Here is an 18,258-nt window from a genome sequence, read left to right as displayed (position 1 = left end):
CTAAATGCCCATAGTAGGGAAATGGTAAAATAAATGAAGACTCATTCAAACAATGGAATAATGTGAAATCATTAAAAATGAGGATGTCGACAAATATTGAGTGACAAGAAATGTTCACTGTAAATTGTTAATGCACGAAGAAGCAGTGAATAAAATTGTATGTGTAAGACTTTGGTATTGTTTAAAACTGTGTGTGTTGGCATATTTTTGCATGCATAAAAAAGGGAAGGTTAAATGAGTCACAGTACAGCCATAAGATGGAATACCATACATCTATATATAATATATATGTGTGTGTATATATATAATATATAAAAAATATAAAATGTATATTATATATAATCTATAAAAATATATAAAATATATATAACATATATATGTTTTAAATATGTAATATATTTATATATATAAAATATATATATAAAAAAGACAGGGTCTCACTCTTTGCCCAGGCTGGAATGCAGTGGTGTCATCATAGCTTACTGCAGCATCAAACTCCTGTACTCAAGCCATCCTCCTGCCTCAGCCTCCCAAGTAGCTGGGACCACAGGTGAGCGCCACCACACTGTGCTAATTTTTTATTTTCATTTTTATTTGTAGAGATGAGGTTTCACTATGTTGCTCAAATTCCTGCCTCAAATGATATTCCTGCCTTGGCTTCCCAGAGAGCAGGGACCTGTGCCCAGCCCAGCTATTTTTTTAAACAGGGAACTCTTAAGTGTTGATGTGGAAAAATCTCTAATATGTATTGTTGCAAACAGCAGGATGTAGAAAAATATATATGATATATCTTTTGAGTATAAAACACAGGATAAATATAATACATCTATTGAGAGAGAGAGAGAGGGAGATCCTTGTCACTAAGAACTAGTGAAGGATGTCATCTGTGGGGTGGGAGGGGCAGGGCCAAGGGGCACAGGGATGCAAACGGGCTTTACTGGGTACCTTGTGTATTCTGGCTTTTGAGCCAGGTGAATATATTACCTATGTAAAACTTTTTCTATCATAAAATAATTCAGGAAAGACATAACCTAAAATTATGCTAGAGGCTGTTTCCAATTAATGAGATTCCTAGTAATTTTTATTTTCTTCATTACGACTTTTTAAATTATCTGTTTTTATTTTACAGTGGGCATACATTATTTTCATATCTAAAAACAGGTTTCCGTTCTGAAATAAAGTGATAAAAATATCTGCACTTGGCCAGATGCAGCGGCTCAAACCTGTAATCCCAGCACTTCGGGATGCCAAGGTGGGTGGATCACCTGAGGTCAGGAGTTCGAGACCAGCCTGGCCAACATGGTGAAACCCCCATGTCTACTAAAAATACAAAAATTGGCCAGGCATGGTGGCGCATGCCTGTAATCCCAGCTACTCGGGAGGCTGAGGCAGGAGAATCACTTGAACCTGGGAGGTGGAGTTGCAGTGAGCCGAGATCGCGCCATTGCACTCCAGCCTGGGGGACAAGAGCAAAACTCTGTCTCAAAGAAAAAAATAAATAACTGCACTTGTGTTTCTTTCTTCCCCATTTCCCTGCTTTAGCATGCCTGCCCCCCACACACTGGCACAAGCTCACAGATACTCTCCCACATTCGCACACATGCACACACAGGTGTCCTTGCACACATGCACACTCACAAATGCTCTCGCACACACAAGTGCTCTCTCTCACACACACATAAATACAAATGCTCATACACTCACATGCTCACACAGTCACACACTCATACACACTCTCACTCCCTCACACGCTCACACACTCACCCACACACATGCACTCCTACACACGCTGATTTATTTCTTGACCCCTCAACTCTGTTTCAGGTCTGTTGATTTATTGGCTGGATTGGAACAGGACCTTCCTCCCCCAGTAAGTAGCCGAAGGCCCACATACCCAGGGACAACACCAGACCATTTCATAGCAGACACAGCAGAGAAGAGACCCAGCCTGGGTGGCACAGGCCTGCAATAGACATAGGAAACGCTCTCCTCTAAACAGAAAGTAAGATCAAGTCCAAAACCATGACAGTGGTGTTCCAGAAACCAATCACAATGGTTGGGTACTTGAAAAACTAGGAAAACCGTTTTTCTAGGTCAAAGTAAAGTGCAATTTCCCCTGGACCCTGAAACTTGGTGGCCCTTTTCCTGTACACCTTTTAGATGGAGTTAGAGAGAGAAGTATAGCTACTTAGCTAACCCCCACCGCAAACAAATATTAGAATACTGATGAAAATACTAAGTGTTAACATGAATGTGACACTTCACATGTGCTAAGCACTATTCTAATGTTTTCCAATAAATAACTTTTCTCATCTGAACAACTATCATTATTCTTAATGTATAGATGACAGAGCTGGGCAAAGAAAGCTTAAGGAAACCGCCCAGAGTCACAAAGCCTGTGAACAGTGATGACAGGACTTGGCTCCTGGCCGTTGGCCCCTAGCCCTGCTGCCCATCACCGATCCACACTGCCACACTTTAATGGAGGAGGGAAATGAATGTGGAGGCTTAAAGAACTTGTCCAAGGTCACATGGCTGGTGAGTCACGGGGCAAAGATGCGAACCCAGGCCCATCTCACTCAAAAACCCAAGCACCTAACTGCCATGTTATCCAGGCACTCTGGCCCCAGTTTCTGCCTCTGTAAGACGGGGTGATAAGACTCATCCACCTTGGAGGGCACACACAGCGGTTGTCCAGTAATGAGGCCTGATGGAACTGGCCTCCATGGGTGACTTCTAGGTTTACCCCATGCTCCCTGTGCTGCAAATCTCCGATCTTGTCCCTCCATTTCCCCCACAAAAATTCCAACCTCAGAAACCACGGTGAGTAAACACTGTGAGTAAAACAGATTTTACTGGAGGTTCCCGAGGAGCCGAAGAACAGGATGACACCTGTTCACACACCACTGCGGACAGCTGCATCGGGTCACCGCAGTCTCTCTCCTCCCCTCTCACACCCTGCTCTCCTTCACGCCCACTCTCCCCTCCCAAAGCGCCTCTATTTTCCAGAGCAATTTGGCAAAACAAACACTGGGGAGTTCCTAACCACACTGTTCTAGCAGCATGGTGGGTCTGTAGGCTCATCTGGCCTGACTTTCCCCAGGCACGACTTTACTAGGGTGTGCCCTCGAGCTGGACGCCTTTGGGAGGGGACAGAGGCAGGATGGGGAAAGGGAGGAATCGAGATGCAGCATGGCCTCAACACGGGCCTCAGCCAACTCCACAGGCGGCTCTGGAGCTGGAGTGGCCCCTTAGACGTGTTCTGAGTTGGGGCAAAGGTCCAGGCCTTCACATCCCTGCGCTGATCAGTCGCTGGGCATGAGCCATCCTGAAAGGAGGCGTGAGATTAGTGAGGCACTTTCCTTCAGCCAAAGCCACCCTCGAAAGGTGCTGACTGCTGAGGACCGATGATGACTCTGTCCTTGACCACACTTCAGGCAGGATCCTCTGAGGCCTCTTCTCAGCCAGGCCTCAAGTTTGGGCCCTGCCCTCGCCTGCTTGGGCCAGCTTTAACGGAGAATGCTGAGAAGTCATTCCCCTCTCCCTTGGCACCTGATCCAGCTCCTCATCCCCCACACTTTACATCTCATCACCATGGCCTGCCTTCAGCAGGGATCCCGTTAATTCAGTTCAGCAAGAAATCCCCTACGTGAGATGTCTCCTCTCACTAACTTTTCCTCCACTAACTACCCCCCTATTCTGCGCACTGGTGATAAATCCTTCGCTATCATTGCTGTGTTTGGAACTGAGCTCTCTAAGGCCATGAGGAATGAGAGGGCATCAGGGCAGAGCGTCCTGCCTGAGTGACCATCCCCACCCTCCTCACTCTCTCCTCCTCTATCTCATAGGATTTCAGCTGCCAGCAGCAGGGAGCCCAGCTCAAAGTGGCATACGTGAAGAGGACCTGAATTTCTGGCCTGCCAAGAAACCCAGGGGCGAGGGAGCTTTAGGGTTGGTCAATGGTTATGAAGGAATCAGGTTCTTCCCAAACCCCCTGCTGCTCCACCACCTTGACACATTGGCTTGGCTGTGAAGGGTCCCCTCATGGTTCCAAGATGGCTGCCAGGGCCCCAGGAATGACATGCAGACAGGACTACACACAACAGGATGGGGACACGGCTCCAGGTGCATCTTCTTTTCAGAACAAAGAAAATGTCCCAGAACCGCCTCTCTTCAGTTCTCACTGGTCACAGCTGGGCACACATGAACCCCTGGAGAAATGGGACTGCCTTGATTGACTAGGCTGGAGCCAGGGCTTGGACCACCTGGACGACGGTGGATCCCTGAACGAAGCCAGGCCACTGTAGGAGAGAGAACGGCAGCATGGCTGCTGGGAAGCAGACGACCATAGCTGCTACATCCTTCCATTTAGAGGCGGGGAAACCGAGGCCAAGGAGGCCAACTGAGTACAGGGAACTTGAACCCTGACTGGCACAACTCAGCCAAGATGTCTTGTTTCTGATTCCAAATGATGACAGCCCCGCAGACCCCTCCAGGGCTCCCATGACAGGTGAGTCAGTCTTGGGCCGGCTTTGCAGCCTGCACACACACAGCCCCACCCTATCCCCTCACCCCTCCCACCCCCGACCCCCCGAGCACTGTGAACCTTCAGCCTTTGTGCCCTCATTAATCCACTCTCAGTCAGACTCCCTGACATCTGCTCCACTCTAAACAAGCCAACTATGCAAGGCCGTCAGCAGGGCCCAGCCTGTGGTCGTCCCCAAATTGTAATATCCACTACGTCCCTGACTTGGAACCAGACGGCCAGGGAAGGAAACGATCCCTGTTTCCTAAGGGTTCAGAAGTTGCCCCCGGTCAACGGTTGCACTTAACACACCCACTTCTGAGGGCGAGGAAAGTTTTCACATCCACAGAAACGCCGTGGGAAATGGTCAGGGCCCTGGAGCCTTCCCGCCTTGCTGAGGGGTGGCGGGCACCATGCCCTCCCCATCTGGCAGTATCATCACTGTAGGGACACCCTGGAGAGCTCCCTTCTCGATGCTGGGGCTGTGTCTACCTGGAATGACCTGGGTGAGAGACTGGACCGTCAGCTCAGGCTCTCAATGAGGACCCACCAGCAGAGCACTCAGCTGCTCACCGCTTGAAGAATTGCAGGAGCAGGTGTGCACTGTAGAGGAAGGGCGTGACTGCATGACAGGCATTTCCCCACGCACCATCAGGGTTACAGCCTGAGACATTCTTGACGCTGGCTGTCTCGCATCTCACCCACACGTGTGCAATCCGTGCGGCCCAATGCAACATCACGCCGTATGCTCAGCAGCTCCAGGGCCAGCACAGTACCTGGCACTGAACCCGTATTTGCTCAGTGAAGGGACTGGGTAAATGAAAGAAAGGACTTTAAATCTCCATGATGCAGGGAGTGAAACAGCAAACAAATGAGGCCCACAGTCTCTGATCACCCTGGGCCTCCCAAGCAAACCCCGCCGGGCAGCCCGTGCACTGTGTCATCCTGACTCAGTTGTGAAGAAACTTTCTGTCCTCAGGCAGCTCCCAAGCTGGGTCAGCTCGAAGATAACCACGTCAGGCCCTTCCCCGCAGATGGGAGGTGTGTGACTGACTTTGAAATCACTTTGGCCTTTGAGTTTTAAAAGAGGTTGATTCCGATCAACTGACCTGAATGTTAATGGCATGGGAGTTTAATTTGTATTCAGACAGGAAGAAAATCAGCCACTCTGAGGAGATGGTGCTGTTTAATTAGGTCTAGTAGTTAACTCAGAATAAAGGCAACACACTGCCAGGAACCAGGAAGGGAAACGACGTCCCCTGGGAACTCGTAGACTTCAGAGGAACTGCGGAATCAGAAGCTGGTGGCTTAGAAATGATGACTTCGTTTCCTGAAAGTCACCAGAGCCTCCCAGCCAGGCGCTGAGGACAAGGCATTTGCTCCTGTGACTCCTGAGTCAGTCAAAACAGTGAAGGAGAAGAACAGTGACAATGCGTGGGTACAAACTCCAGTGCACATGAGTGCTCATGCACGTGTGTGTGTGTGTGTGTGTCTGTGTGTGTGTGATTGTGTGCACAGGGTGGCGGGGAGGAGGGCATCCAGTTTTTAATATAAGGAAGCTAAATCTCTTCTAATGCTGATAGCAACACAATTCCTAACAGCCCACACACTACAAAGAACTGAAATACCCATCCACAATACAACAGATGAATTGACAATGGCAGAGTCATGCAATGGAATACTACACAGCAGTGAAAAAGAGCGGGCTCCACTATGCACATAACAGGGATGAACTGCAGAGACATCATGAGGAGTAAGAGAAGACAGTGCCCGAGGTCACATACTGTATGGTTCCATGTATACAACGTACAAGAACAAGAAGAGCTAATTTACGGTGATAGAAGGGAGAATAGGGATTCCCCTAGCGGGAAGGTCAGCCTGGGAGTGGGGAAAGGGGAACTCTATAGCTTGATCACAGTGGGGGTTAGACAAGCAGGCGTATGTGCAAAAACGCACTAAGTGGCACGTTTTGCAAGACTTGTGTGCTCTATGTATGGTATACCTCAATTTAAATATATGTATATTTAAAGAAAAGCCTATTCTAAGGAACATGGCAACTAAGGCAACCACGGATCGCCTTGGTGTCACACTTCTGACACGTGCAAGCTCAGTGCTGTGTCCCTCCCCATGTGGCCGACACCTGCTGCTCCAGTCATGGGGATAATACCCTCACAATTATAGGTTGAATTTCTTACAGTTGTCTCTCCAGTTCACAGCATAAATTACACGTCTTCCCTGCACCCTCTTCGCCAACAAGGTCTAATAAAGTGGGGGGATTTGGCATTTCTTGCATTTATTTAAGGGCTCCAAGGGTGGGGAGGCACGAAGATGCTGCAGATTACTAACTGATTTGCTCCTTATGAAATTACACGGCAGGCGTGAGGCTGTCCCCGTCGCCACAGGCGCTCGAGAGGAAGAAATGAATTATGCTTCAAAGTTATAAGATGTGAAAATTGATTCAGGAATGCTAGCTGTTTTCAATTTTATATTGCCATTTATTTTAAGAACACCCAGGCTCTCCCAAACAGGAGTTTATAGCAGATATGAAAACATAATTAACACTTAAACTGACGCCGCAGACCTGGGCTGGTGGCCCTTTATGCTCTGATCTGCGTAGCCAAGGCTAACAGGATTCGAACCAGGTTGAAACAAAGAAACAAGAAACATCTGACAATTAATAAAACATAAAGAATCCACTGCCTTTTTTCAGTTTCCCCTCCCCATCCTGTCTCCCTCTGAACTTTTATGTGGAAACTTCTTTGAGAAAGGAAGGACACAGTTAATAAGAGGATGGCAGGGACTTATATATTCAAAGGTTGAAAGGAAGCAGATCTTGCAAAATCAAAGAACCCACTGGAGATGACTTTGCGCAGCTGCAAGATGGCCTGATGGGGGCTGGGGAAGGCATGGAGTTTACAGATAGAAGGAGCTGGAGCTCGATGTCTGCTGGTCAGAAGTCATTTCACACCTCTTAAGCCTCAGTTTCTTCCTTTGTAAGTTGGGGATAATAGCAGGACCCAGCTCTGAGGGCCCGTGGGAGGATTAAGTGAAGTAATGGATGCAAAGCCCACTGCAGGGCACTGGGGCATTCAGCAAGCGCTGGTGCCATGTTACATCCTGTGCTGTCTACGCCCCATGCCCAGTTCCCAGCAGCAAACAGGTCAGAATCCTGGGCACAAACAGACTAGAGAACCAGGGCCCGGCTCGTTGCTGAAAGCAGGACAGCTGCATCATTTGTGGGGGTCAGTGCAAAATAAAAACGTCAGGTCCCTTGTTCGAAGGCAGGAAAAAAGTGCCATTCAACCTACTCAGCTATAAAGCTTTTTCCTTTTCTCTGCAGTCTCTCTCTTCACTTACCGGGGCGTTTTCTATTTGCTATTCAAAATCATCCTAAGTAAATTAAAATATTTAAATAATTAGCATGAATTTGGTCATCCATCTTTATATGACGCAAGGTCAGTATTAAATACAAATGTAAGGGCATTTAACCTGTGTGCAGAATCCTCAAAATTACACAATTTGTGTTTCATGGCCTGTGCGTGCACATGGGTGTTCTTGCCCGTAACTAACAGTAGAAATATTTGCCATCGCTCACTTTTACTTAGCTTCTCGATATGCGCACATTCTACCAACACCACCTACCTTTGGCTGTGCTGTGTCCCTCCCCATGTGTGGCTGACACCTGCTGCTCCAGTCATGGAGATAATACCCTCACAATTATAGGTTGAATTTCTTACAGTTATCTCTCCAGTTCACAGCATAAATTACACATCTTCCTGCACCCTCTTTGCCAACATGGTCTAATAAAGGTGGGGGACTAAGATGCGCCATTGTTTCAGCGTGGGTGGTCAGCTGACATGGGGAAGTGATGTGAGAAAGGGAATGATGGGGTCCCTCTGTTGCTCATGGCGCATGGTGCCCCTGCTTTTTCTCTGTGTCCGAAGCAAAGCGTGGCCTCTCCGGCAGTCATAGATGCAAACCGCTCATCTCACACAAGCTTGGGTCTCACTCACCTTGTGAATCCACAGAATTCTGTGTACATGGGCATCATGAACCCTCCATGCAGACGGGGCGCAAGGGAACGGGGTCACGCTTGTACTGCTAACACACATGTGTCACTGTCCCTGGTCTTACTTACAAAACACAAGCTCAAAGACGAAATGATCACACCTGTCAGGATGGCCACACAACAGAACACTAGCCCAGGGTGGGAATGTCCAGATCCCACCCTCGTGAGCCCTCCGTCCCCGGGGGGCTTTGCTTCTGCTCCCCAAGTGAGAGTCTCAGTCCCTGGCTCATTAAAGGTCACGAGTGCTCATCCCAAGTGTCCTGGCCCTGGGGGCGAGGCGTGAGCAGTTGTGACCCCAATTTACAGATGAGGAAACAGAGACCCCACAGGTTATCTGCTTAAGGTCACTCCTCCCACAGGTGCCTTCCTCGAATCTTCAAAGGCCCGGGTGTGACTCAACCAGTGGCCCCAAGGTCAGAAAATGGGCCTCTCGGGCCCCTCCTGCCCTCCCCAACCAACTTCCTCCCCTACTTTCTCCTTCTCTTCCTCCTTCCCTGGGTCCACTCAATTCTGTGCCTGTGGACATCATTGATTGCCCATGGATGGGACAGTCATCTCTCCCTCCCTCCCTTCTGTCCTTCCTTCCAGGGTCAGAGTTGGTGAGAACAGGAGAGGGAGCCGAGTGAAGTCACAGAGGGCAGACCCCACCTCCAGGGCAGGGATAAGAGTCATAGATTCCCGAACTAACTATGGGACCCTGGTAAGTCACTTCCTGCCCACAGCCTGTGATCCGGAGAGGCAGAACTCCCCTGAGCCCCTCCCTCTTGGAGCTGTGGTGGCCCCGGGCAGCCACTAAGCTGTCCAAGTTGGTGAGTGCACGGTGGTAACGACATGGTGAAATACTGAAGCCCACGGCCTCCTCAGACCGAAGACCTGGGCCACAGCCTGGCTCTGCCATGCACTAGGTAGTGTCCATGGGACAGGGGACTGAAGGCCTTCCAGGCAGAGGGAGCCACCGGGGCAAAGGCCAGGGCTGGGATAGAGCCTGGGGCCTTCAAGGAACAGAAAGAGGCCAGCGTGGCTGGAGGGCAGCAGGGCAGAGGCAGGAGAGCTGGGCACTGGGAGGTGGCTGGAGGGGTCCACAGGCCTTGGTGTGCGTTGCTGAGGAGGGTGGGGTCTGCTCGGGGGGCTGGGGGGACTAGGGGCAGGCCTAGCTGAAGGAAAGGGTGGTGCGTGCTGTGTCACTGCCCCTCAGCCTGCCGTACCCCACATGTTCTCCATCCACACACATCTTGTCCCACCCTACCCCACCTCCCCACCTCCACTCTCGCCTCCACTCCTGCGTCCACCCACCCCATCCCTCTCCACCCCTCCCATCCATCCTCCATCCCCTCCTCTCCACCCACCCCGCTATTCCTCTCCACCCCTCCCATCCCACCCTCCATCCCCTCCTCTCCACCCACATCCCCGTCATCCACCCCACCTTCCCCACCCTCCATCCCCCTCCTTCACCCACCCCTGCTGCTGGGTCTTGGAGTCCCCTCCCCTCAGACCCCGGCAGGCTTGAGGAGCATCCTGGCAATGGTTGCTGGGAAGCATGTGGCTGGTGACTATTCTCACTCTTGATGATTTCACAGGGTGGGTGAAGCACCCCTCCCAATCAGGCCCATTTCACCCCAGCCTGGGTGTCTGGGGAGGGGCAGATGTTTGCAGACTCAAGCCCCAAAGCCGCAGCTGTCCTGCCCTCCAGGGCCAATGGGTTCATTTTGTCTGGTTCTCCATTCATTCCTCCAGGCCCATGATTTTAGCTTTTTCATTCCTCCTGTACCTCCCACGGGTGAGGGGGAGGCCAGGGCTCTCTGGGAAGTGGGCCCATTTAAAGACTTGGGCCCTTTCAAACCCTGCAGGCCCCACCACCTTCCTCACCTGGGGGGCCGGGGTAGGAGCCTGCAGAACAGCCTTCCAGGGTCATCTCTTGAGAGGGTGGGTGTAGCCCTGGGCTCCTCCTGAATCTGCCCATCACTCTCCCCTGGGGGAGGAGGAAGGCTGGAGCGACCTTGCCCTGAACTCCCAGGAAACATGCCCGGAGGAGCTGCATGCCTTGGCTCACAGAGCCCACCCAGCCTGCAGGGAAGTTGGGCACAGACTCCCAGGTCAGAGCTCCTTCCACCCCACTGGTCCCCTCCAAACACACCCCTGGAATTCTGCTACTGAGGCTGCCCACTGGGGACAAAAGGGTACAGGCGAGTCCTCGGCTGAGTTCCTTCATCCTCCTGAAGAGGCACGATTCTGACTCCGCAGCCAGGAAAGGCAGTCTGAGGTGGGTGAAGTCCAGGCTGAAGCTCTGGGCCAGGAAGAGGTGTGGAGAATTGACCATGACCCCGCTTCCTAAGCCTCAAATGCCTCATCCCCCACCCCAGAGAGAAGAGGCATGGGAGCACCTTCTTTTCTACACCTCATTGAGCAGCCACGTCTTCCGCTTGAAAAGTCCTAAAATCTTGTTGTCATAATTTCCCACTTTCCCTTTCTTTTGCTCATCCTTTTTGAGTCTGCATTTAAAAAACAACAACAAAATCCGCTGTCAAAGGACTCATTCAGAATACATGAAAGAATTCCAACAAATCAGTGAGAAAAAGACAGACAACCAGTTTGCAAAAACTGGGCAAAACATTTGGAACATGCACGTCACCAAAGAAGATGCATGGTTATAACAGTTCCGGTTCCTAGCTGGGTGTGGTAGAGCCAGCGTCGTGGGGGACAGCCCGGAAGGGCCTCGAGCTCAGAAGGGCCCTGCCTTTGGCTTAATGCTTGGCTGTCACTGTTTTGAAAGTCCCCATAATTTTTTAAATAGGTCCCCACAGTTACATTTTGTGCTCACAAACCCAGTAAGCCATCCTGGTGCAGGGCTTGGCCTCAGTAGGAAAGTCCCCCACGCCTGTCTGTGTCAGGATCAGCCACGGTAACCCCAGCCGGTGCTTGCGGTGGGGTCGGGGTTCGGCACAGTCATGACAGCTTCCTTTCATTGGGTCTCACCACCTTCCAGACCCTGAGCAGACAAGTCTGCAAGATCATGCATAGCATTCTCACAACATCCCTGGGACTGATGTTTGCCCCACTTTATAGATGAGCAAACCAAGGCTAGGAGAGGTAACGTCACTGCCCCAAGGTCATAAAGCCAGGAAGTAGCAGATGGGATTTGAAACCAGGTGTGGTTCTGAGGCAGCAGGACTCCAAGCCTTGCCTGTATTCCATCACACCGTCACTGCATGTGATGTGACACTGAATATCAAAAAGCAGACTCCAAGGAGTGTCCCTTCAGGATACCAATGATAGAACCAGAAAGGGAGTCCAAGGAGGGTGGGGCTGCAGTCTCCGGAGGTTTGATCAAGCCATTCCTGAAGTCCCCCTGCTCCCCTGCCCCCCACCACCGCCGCCCCACACACACACAGATTGTGCTTGGGAGCCCCAGTCTTATTTTTCAGCATAATTGCTCCCAGCGACTCACAGAGGAAGTTGGCAGGGATGGGTAAATAAACCATAACAGGGCTGGCACTCACTGGGCTCAGCTGGGTTCAGCATCAAGCCCTACGCAGAGCCCAGGGCTCCTGTCATTATTTTTTTCCTCTGAAATGAGGTCTGACTCTGTCACCCAGGCTGGAGCACAGTGGCATGATCATAGCTCACTGCAGCCTTGATCTCCAGGGCTCAAGTGATCCTCGTTCCTCAGGCTTCCCATTAGCTGGAACTACAGGCACGTGCCACCATACCTGGCTAATTTTTTTTTTTATTTTTGTAGAGACGGGGTCTCGCTACGTTACCCAGGCTGGTCTGGAACTCCTGTCCTCAAGCAATCCTCCTGCCTCAGGCTCCTAAAGTGCTGGGATTACAGGCAGGAGCCACTACACAGCCTCCTGTCTTTATTTTGAAAACACAGGAGAAAATCACAGAAAAGGCCAGAGCCTGAGTCTGCTGCTGGCAAAATCAGGGCTTGCACCTTGGCTTTAGCATTTACCCTGTGACTTTTCTGAACCTCAGTTTCCTCATCTGTAAAATGGCCTAACATTTACCCTGTGACGTCTTTGGGGTATGAGATGAGACCACATGCACAAAGCCCTTAGCTCATGACCACCATGTCATTCAAGAAGCTTGTGGCTGTGGCAACTGCCAAGGGCCTCCCAGATCTTGGGAGCCAACTGTTCTAGGAGGCCAGGAGTGGTCAGTGCAAGGCCTCTCAGCGTCAAGTCCCACCCCGAGAGCACCTCCCATCCTTGGTGGCTGACAACATCCTCCGGCATATGAGGAAATCTGCTCAAGGCCTGCAGATGGGCTCTTGCTCCTGATTCTTTTGCTTTTCTCTGATGAGGAGTATTTGGCTTTACCTCCTCTCTCCAGGGTGCAAACCCACTTCACTCTCTTCTTTGCTGGTAGCAAACCTTCAATGGGGAGGAGAAAGCGTGCCTTGTCCCTAGGGGCCTGATACAAAGCCATGACTTAATTATGTCCAGTTGATAACTGGCAGGCTGTCCCCATCTTCTTGCTTGGCAGCCAGATGGCTTCCTTTTGTTGAATGTGAACAATATTTTGGGAAATTTTTGAACCAGGTTCCCAAGGAAAAATGGCTCCCTGCAGTGGGGAGATGGAGACAGAGGCTCTGTGGGGCCATTGTGGGTACCGAGATGACCCGTTCTACGTGCCCTAAACCTGACTGTGCACTACTGCCAGCCAGACCTTCTCTTGGCTCCTTGTAGGTGCTGAGAACCTTACCACCTCAGGACCTTTGCACTTGCTGATGCCACTGAATGAGCAGTGTTTCCACAGTTGTCTTCAGAACTGCTTGATCCTCATCTCCTTCCCATGCTCTGCTCTCTAAAGATGGCCCCCTCCCCGCAAAAAACACACATTTGCTTGTTTGTTTCCTGCAAAGCACTTACCTCAACCTGTAATTAGTTTAGCCTGTTTGTTTCACCCACTATGACGTAAGACCATGAGATCAGGGTGGGATGTCAGACTCACACCACGCCCCAGCACAGTGCCTGGGGGCTGGCAGGTGCCCCATCAATGAATGAATGAATGGGCTACATATTTAAGAAAGGGGAAGAGGGAGCAAGGAAAGAATGTGGCACCTTCTCCAGACCTCAGTTTCCCCCTGGACTCACTTGCTTTGAGCCAGTGACTGGACCAAGTCCCCAGCTTTCTGTTTCTGCGGCAAACATCCTCGCTTCCTCCTGCCCCAAACTCTGCCCCCAAAAGCAAGAGCTGCAAAGCTCAGCCCAGCGTGTCATCAAAGGGAATTGGTTTTCCCCAGTGATGAGTCTTAGAGATGAGTCCTGGAGATGAGGAAAACATCATTATCCCAACTGCTGGAGAGTCACTGAGCCCAGGCTGAAGTCCTGCCTGCCCTAGTCACTTGGTAGCTGTGTGAGCTGAGCAAGGTCCCACTCTCTCTGAGCCACTGTTTTCTCATCTGTAAAAAGGGGCTGATAATAGCACTGACTTCCCAGCGTCATTGCATAAGAAGAAAAGGTGACAGGCCTGCTGGCTGTCTTATCCGTGGTGGGCAAATGTTAGTTCCTTTCTTTCCTACAAAGGGATTATTCCCAAACTCTTCAAAGCAAGATCTCGGGGTCCCCTCAGAATAGTACTATCCCGAGCCCAGACAGGATTTAGGGAGCACTGTCTTGGTTGGGGTACCCCAGCAACAGATCCTGAGACAAAACTCAAGTGCAAGTACAGTAGTGTATTTGAGAATCAACACCAGGGTGCAGCAGTAGGGGGGTAGGGGGGTAAGGAGGTGACGGGGAAGGAAAGGAGGCGAGTCAAGGCACCTTATCCCCCGGGGCTATGCCCATGGGCAACTGGAGCTCAGCCCTGCAGAGGAACTCAGGGGACTGAGGGGGGTACTTTTCATTGGCCAGGAGCCTGTCACCTGGGGCCACCTGCCCTCCTCCTGGAAAGATCCCAGGACAGCCCAGGCTCTCGGAGACTCACCCTCAGCCCCTGGCCATGGCCCTTTCTGCACCCTCTGGCTTTCTGTCCAGCTGTCAGCAGCCCCTCCTTGAGAGACGCTGTCCCCCTGACCATCAGGGCCCTCTCTGCCCTCTGGCTGACACCCTTCGTCTGCCCTTATGCAGTGAGGTGGGGTGGGGGTGAGCACCCTGGCTCCCTTGCCCCTTGCTGGATCACTCTGTGGTGTGTGTGCTGTGTTCCCCACAGTCTCCAGTGCTCCCTGGAAGGAGGGAGCCCACCCAGCTGGCCACCGAGGGACTGGCTGAGGGCACGCCCCATCCTGCCTGCCCTTCCTGCCTTACCTCCTCTGATCCCAGCCGTGCTTAACGGGGGTTCACCTTCCCATATCTTACTTCCACTCAAATCCTCCTCCTAGAACCCGCTCCGGAGGAAACCCAACCCAAGACAGCCCTTGAAGTGAGGACCCAAGTCAGCTCAGCCAGAGGCCCCAGCTCCCTGGCAGCAGCAATTGGTCCACGACTGGACGTGGGGACTGAGTGGGACCCATCCGCATCCACACGTCAGAGTCACTGGGGCTGACGGAGCAGTGGCTGCTGGGTTCCCTGCACTGTGGACAAGTCAGTCGGCAGCAGGAGAGAACGTGGCCCTCAGAAAAGACAGTGAGAGTGACAGCAAGCTTGCCATACCGCCCCGGTTCCAGTCCCTGAGGGTCTGGTCACCACAGGTGCCCTTCAGTCTTTCACGCTACCCCAGGGACCTGCTAGCTGCAGGCGGTGGCAGTTGAGCAACTGGGTTTCTGCTGTGTGCAGACAAATTGTCTTGATTAATCCAGAGGACTTCCTGGGCAAGGCAGCTTTGGGGAGCGGGGAAGGGAGTGTGCATTTCAGCTAAGGAAAAGGCATGGAGGCTGGGCCATGGTGGAGCTCAGGAAGGAAGGTGTGAGGAGCACTGGGCAGGATGCGCCCAGTGGGCCAGCGGAGGGTGGGGAAGGAGGCTCCAGGGAGTGCCTTCCAAGCCTCTCTGTTGGAACCTGGGAAAGTTCAAGTCGGTTCAAGCTGGTAAATAAGCCTGTGGGTTTTATGTCACCTCAGAGGTGTTGTTAGTTTTCTCTCCACACCCAGAAGGTTCTTCAATGAACTTCTTTCTGCTTATTTTTTAAAATGACTTTAGCTACCATGCATGAGAAACTTTTCTGCTCTAAATATTTTATATTTACTTCTGAGAACACCGAAGAAGGGGGCTGATGAACCTCCTGGGCCAGGGTGATGCCATATGTCTGAGGTCACTCAGATGTCTCTCATCGCCAGCGCCCCCTTGACTGCAAGCTTTCCTCTGTTTGGAGCCCCGCTTCCAACACACAGCCTGGTCACCTCTCAGGTAAACCTCACATACACTCAGATGCCACCTCCTTTGTGAAGCCCCCCATGCTTTCTCCCACACCCCGGTCTGCTCCAGGCATTGCTCCTCTCTTATATTTGCCAATGCAGTTATTATCTGGATGAGCACCAGCTGCTCGCCACCTCACCTGCCTGCCCTAACCAGGCGGGAAGCTCCATGAGGGTACAGCCCTTTCTCATCTGTGTCCCCCAATATCTAAGACAGGGCCCGGCAACAGTCAGCCTCAGCACTTGTTGAATGAATGTGTAAGTAAATGCGTAAATGAATGAATGAATTCCTAAGCTCCTCTCTCATTCCCTACTCCAAAAGTGACCACAATTATTGATTTATCCTTTAACTTCACTCAGGGGCTGGAGGCACTCATTTATTTATCCAAACACATTTATTGAAGGTATACACCATACTTCACATGTGCTGGCTCATCATTTCCTCACAAACAAACCTGGGAGTCAGTCACAAAGATTAGCTGCAATTCACAGTTAGGGAAACCAAGGCCCAGAAAAAAGAAGTGGCTGCCCAAAGTCACCTCACTGGTACAAGAGAGCCAGAATCAACCTGGACAGCCTCACCCTAGAACCTTCCCTCCATCCATATCAGCACTATCACATATCACATATAATATATCATCCATATCATCACTATCATTATCACCATCACCATCACCATCTTCACCACCACCATCATCATTATTTTCTAGGGAAGCTCAAACCAAACAGATGAGTGGATGAATGGATAAATCAGTAGTTAGGTGGATGGATGCATGAATGGATGGACAAACAGACAAACTGATGAATGTATGGATCAACAGTTGGATAGGTGAGAGATGGGTTAAAAGATGGATGAAAGAATGGATGGGCATGTGGATAGATAGACGAATGGACAGGCAGGTGTCTGGGCAAATTGATGGATGGATAAATGGATGGGTGGATAAATGGATGGATGGATGGATGGATGGATGGATAGGTGGATGGATGGATGAATAGGTGGATGGATGGATGGATGGACGGATGGATGGATGGATGGATAGGTGGATGAATGGATCAATAGGTAGATGGATGGATGAATAGGTGGATGGGTGGATGGATGGATGGAAAGAAGAATAGGTGGATGGATGGATAAATAGTTGGATGGATGGATGGATGGATGGATGGATGGATAGATAGATAAGCGGGCGGGTGGGTGGATGAATAGATTTCTGGATAGATGGATGGGTGGGTGGATGGATGGATGGGTGGATGGATGGCTGGATGGATAGATGGATGATAGGTGGATGGGTGGGTGGTTAGATGGGTAGATGGGCGAATAGGTGGATACAGGGATGAACAGATGGGTGGGGACTAGCTGCAAGTGTCCTGATTTGATTTCTGTTGTTGGGGACAGGCATTCTCACAGCCCAGGACAGTCGCAAGAGCAGTCGTCTTCTGGGCCCCTGTGCAGCTGGCTGTGCTCCTGCACCCTCAGAGGCAGCACACTCCTTCCTTGCAGCCCTTCTCTTGCCAGAACACACCTATCCCCTACATTGTTTCCCTGTTGCAATTTAACGTCAGTGTTTCCTCCAGGAGGCTTTTTTGCCAAATGAACAGCTGCTTCCCTGTGAACCTTTCTCCTGCCTGGACCTGAGTCCCAGACTGGGCTGTGAAGGCCTCAGTTGGGCCGTCTTGCTGGAAAGAAGAGGAGAGGGGCATTATCCGGCACTTCTCAGCAACTGGGGGCAGTCATAGGGTTGTATGTTCTCACTGCTGTCAGGCCAGAAACCAGGAGATGATTTTTCCATCCTACAGGCAACCAAAATTTCTAGAGGAAGTGGTCTTGGCGTGGGCAGGAATCAGCCGTTTGCCTTTGGAATGTGAAGGTCTCTTCATGAGAGTATGGGTTCAAGCGTCCTTTTCAACTGAGTTATGCCAAAGTGCTGGTTTTATTTCTTACTATTCGGTCTTCCTATCACCACAAAAGTTTGGGGATTTTTTTTCCTTCCCATTACAGATCAAATAAAGCCCTGACTTGGGTTTTGTGGCTGATCTCGAGTGCTTTGCCATTTTCTTCACCTGAGTTTCTTGTGCTTACATCAGCTGCAAAAGCACTGGAAAGATGGGGCTGCTGTTGTCCCTCTTGGTGTACGACACTTACGAGTAACAAATCTGCAGGTGAGCTCTGCAGGCACCCCCAGGGGAGAGGCCATACGTGGCTTCGAGAATGGACCCAGAACTCAAGAACACGGTCACGAGTTTGCACTTTGCATGTTCCAAGGCCCCTTTGCCCCCATAACCTCAGCTGGTCCCACGGAGGGAGGAGAGAGACAGATCACACATGGGGAGACTGGAGCTTAAATGGGCAAATGTTAAGCATTTACAAGGTACTT

General features: G+C 50.9%; 2 annotated features.

Moving 5' to 3' along the window:
- Window positions 3,200-3,700: an enhancer, noted in NCBI's record as "H3K4me1 hESC enhancer chr20:56369354-56369854 (GRCh37/hg19 assembly coordinates)". NCBI's record gives its function as "activates a minimal SCP1, AML or CMV promoter by ChIP-STARR-seq in naive H9 embryonic stem cells {active_cell/tissue: H9 hESC(naive)}" and the evidence as "EXISTENCE:reporter gene assay evidence [ECO:0000049][PMID:30033119]".
- Window positions 14,376-14,969: an enhancer, noted in NCBI's record as "H3K4me1 hESC enhancer chr20:56358085-56358678 (GRCh37/hg19 assembly coordinates)". NCBI's record gives its function as "activates a minimal SCP1, AML or CMV promoter by ChIP-STARR-seq in naive H9 embryonic stem cells {active_cell/tissue: H9 hESC(naive)}" and the evidence as "EXISTENCE:reporter gene assay evidence [ECO:0000049][PMID:30033119]".

The sequence above is a fragment of the Homo sapiens genome, chromosome 20 (assembly GCF_000001405.40).
Source record: "Homo sapiens chromosome 20, GRCh38.p14 Primary Assembly".
Lineage (NCBI taxonomy): Eukaryota > Metazoa > Chordata > Mammalia > Primates > Hominidae > Homo > Homo sapiens.
Note: the sequence above shows the minus strand (reverse complement) of the source record. Positions and strands in the feature narration are given on the sequence as shown.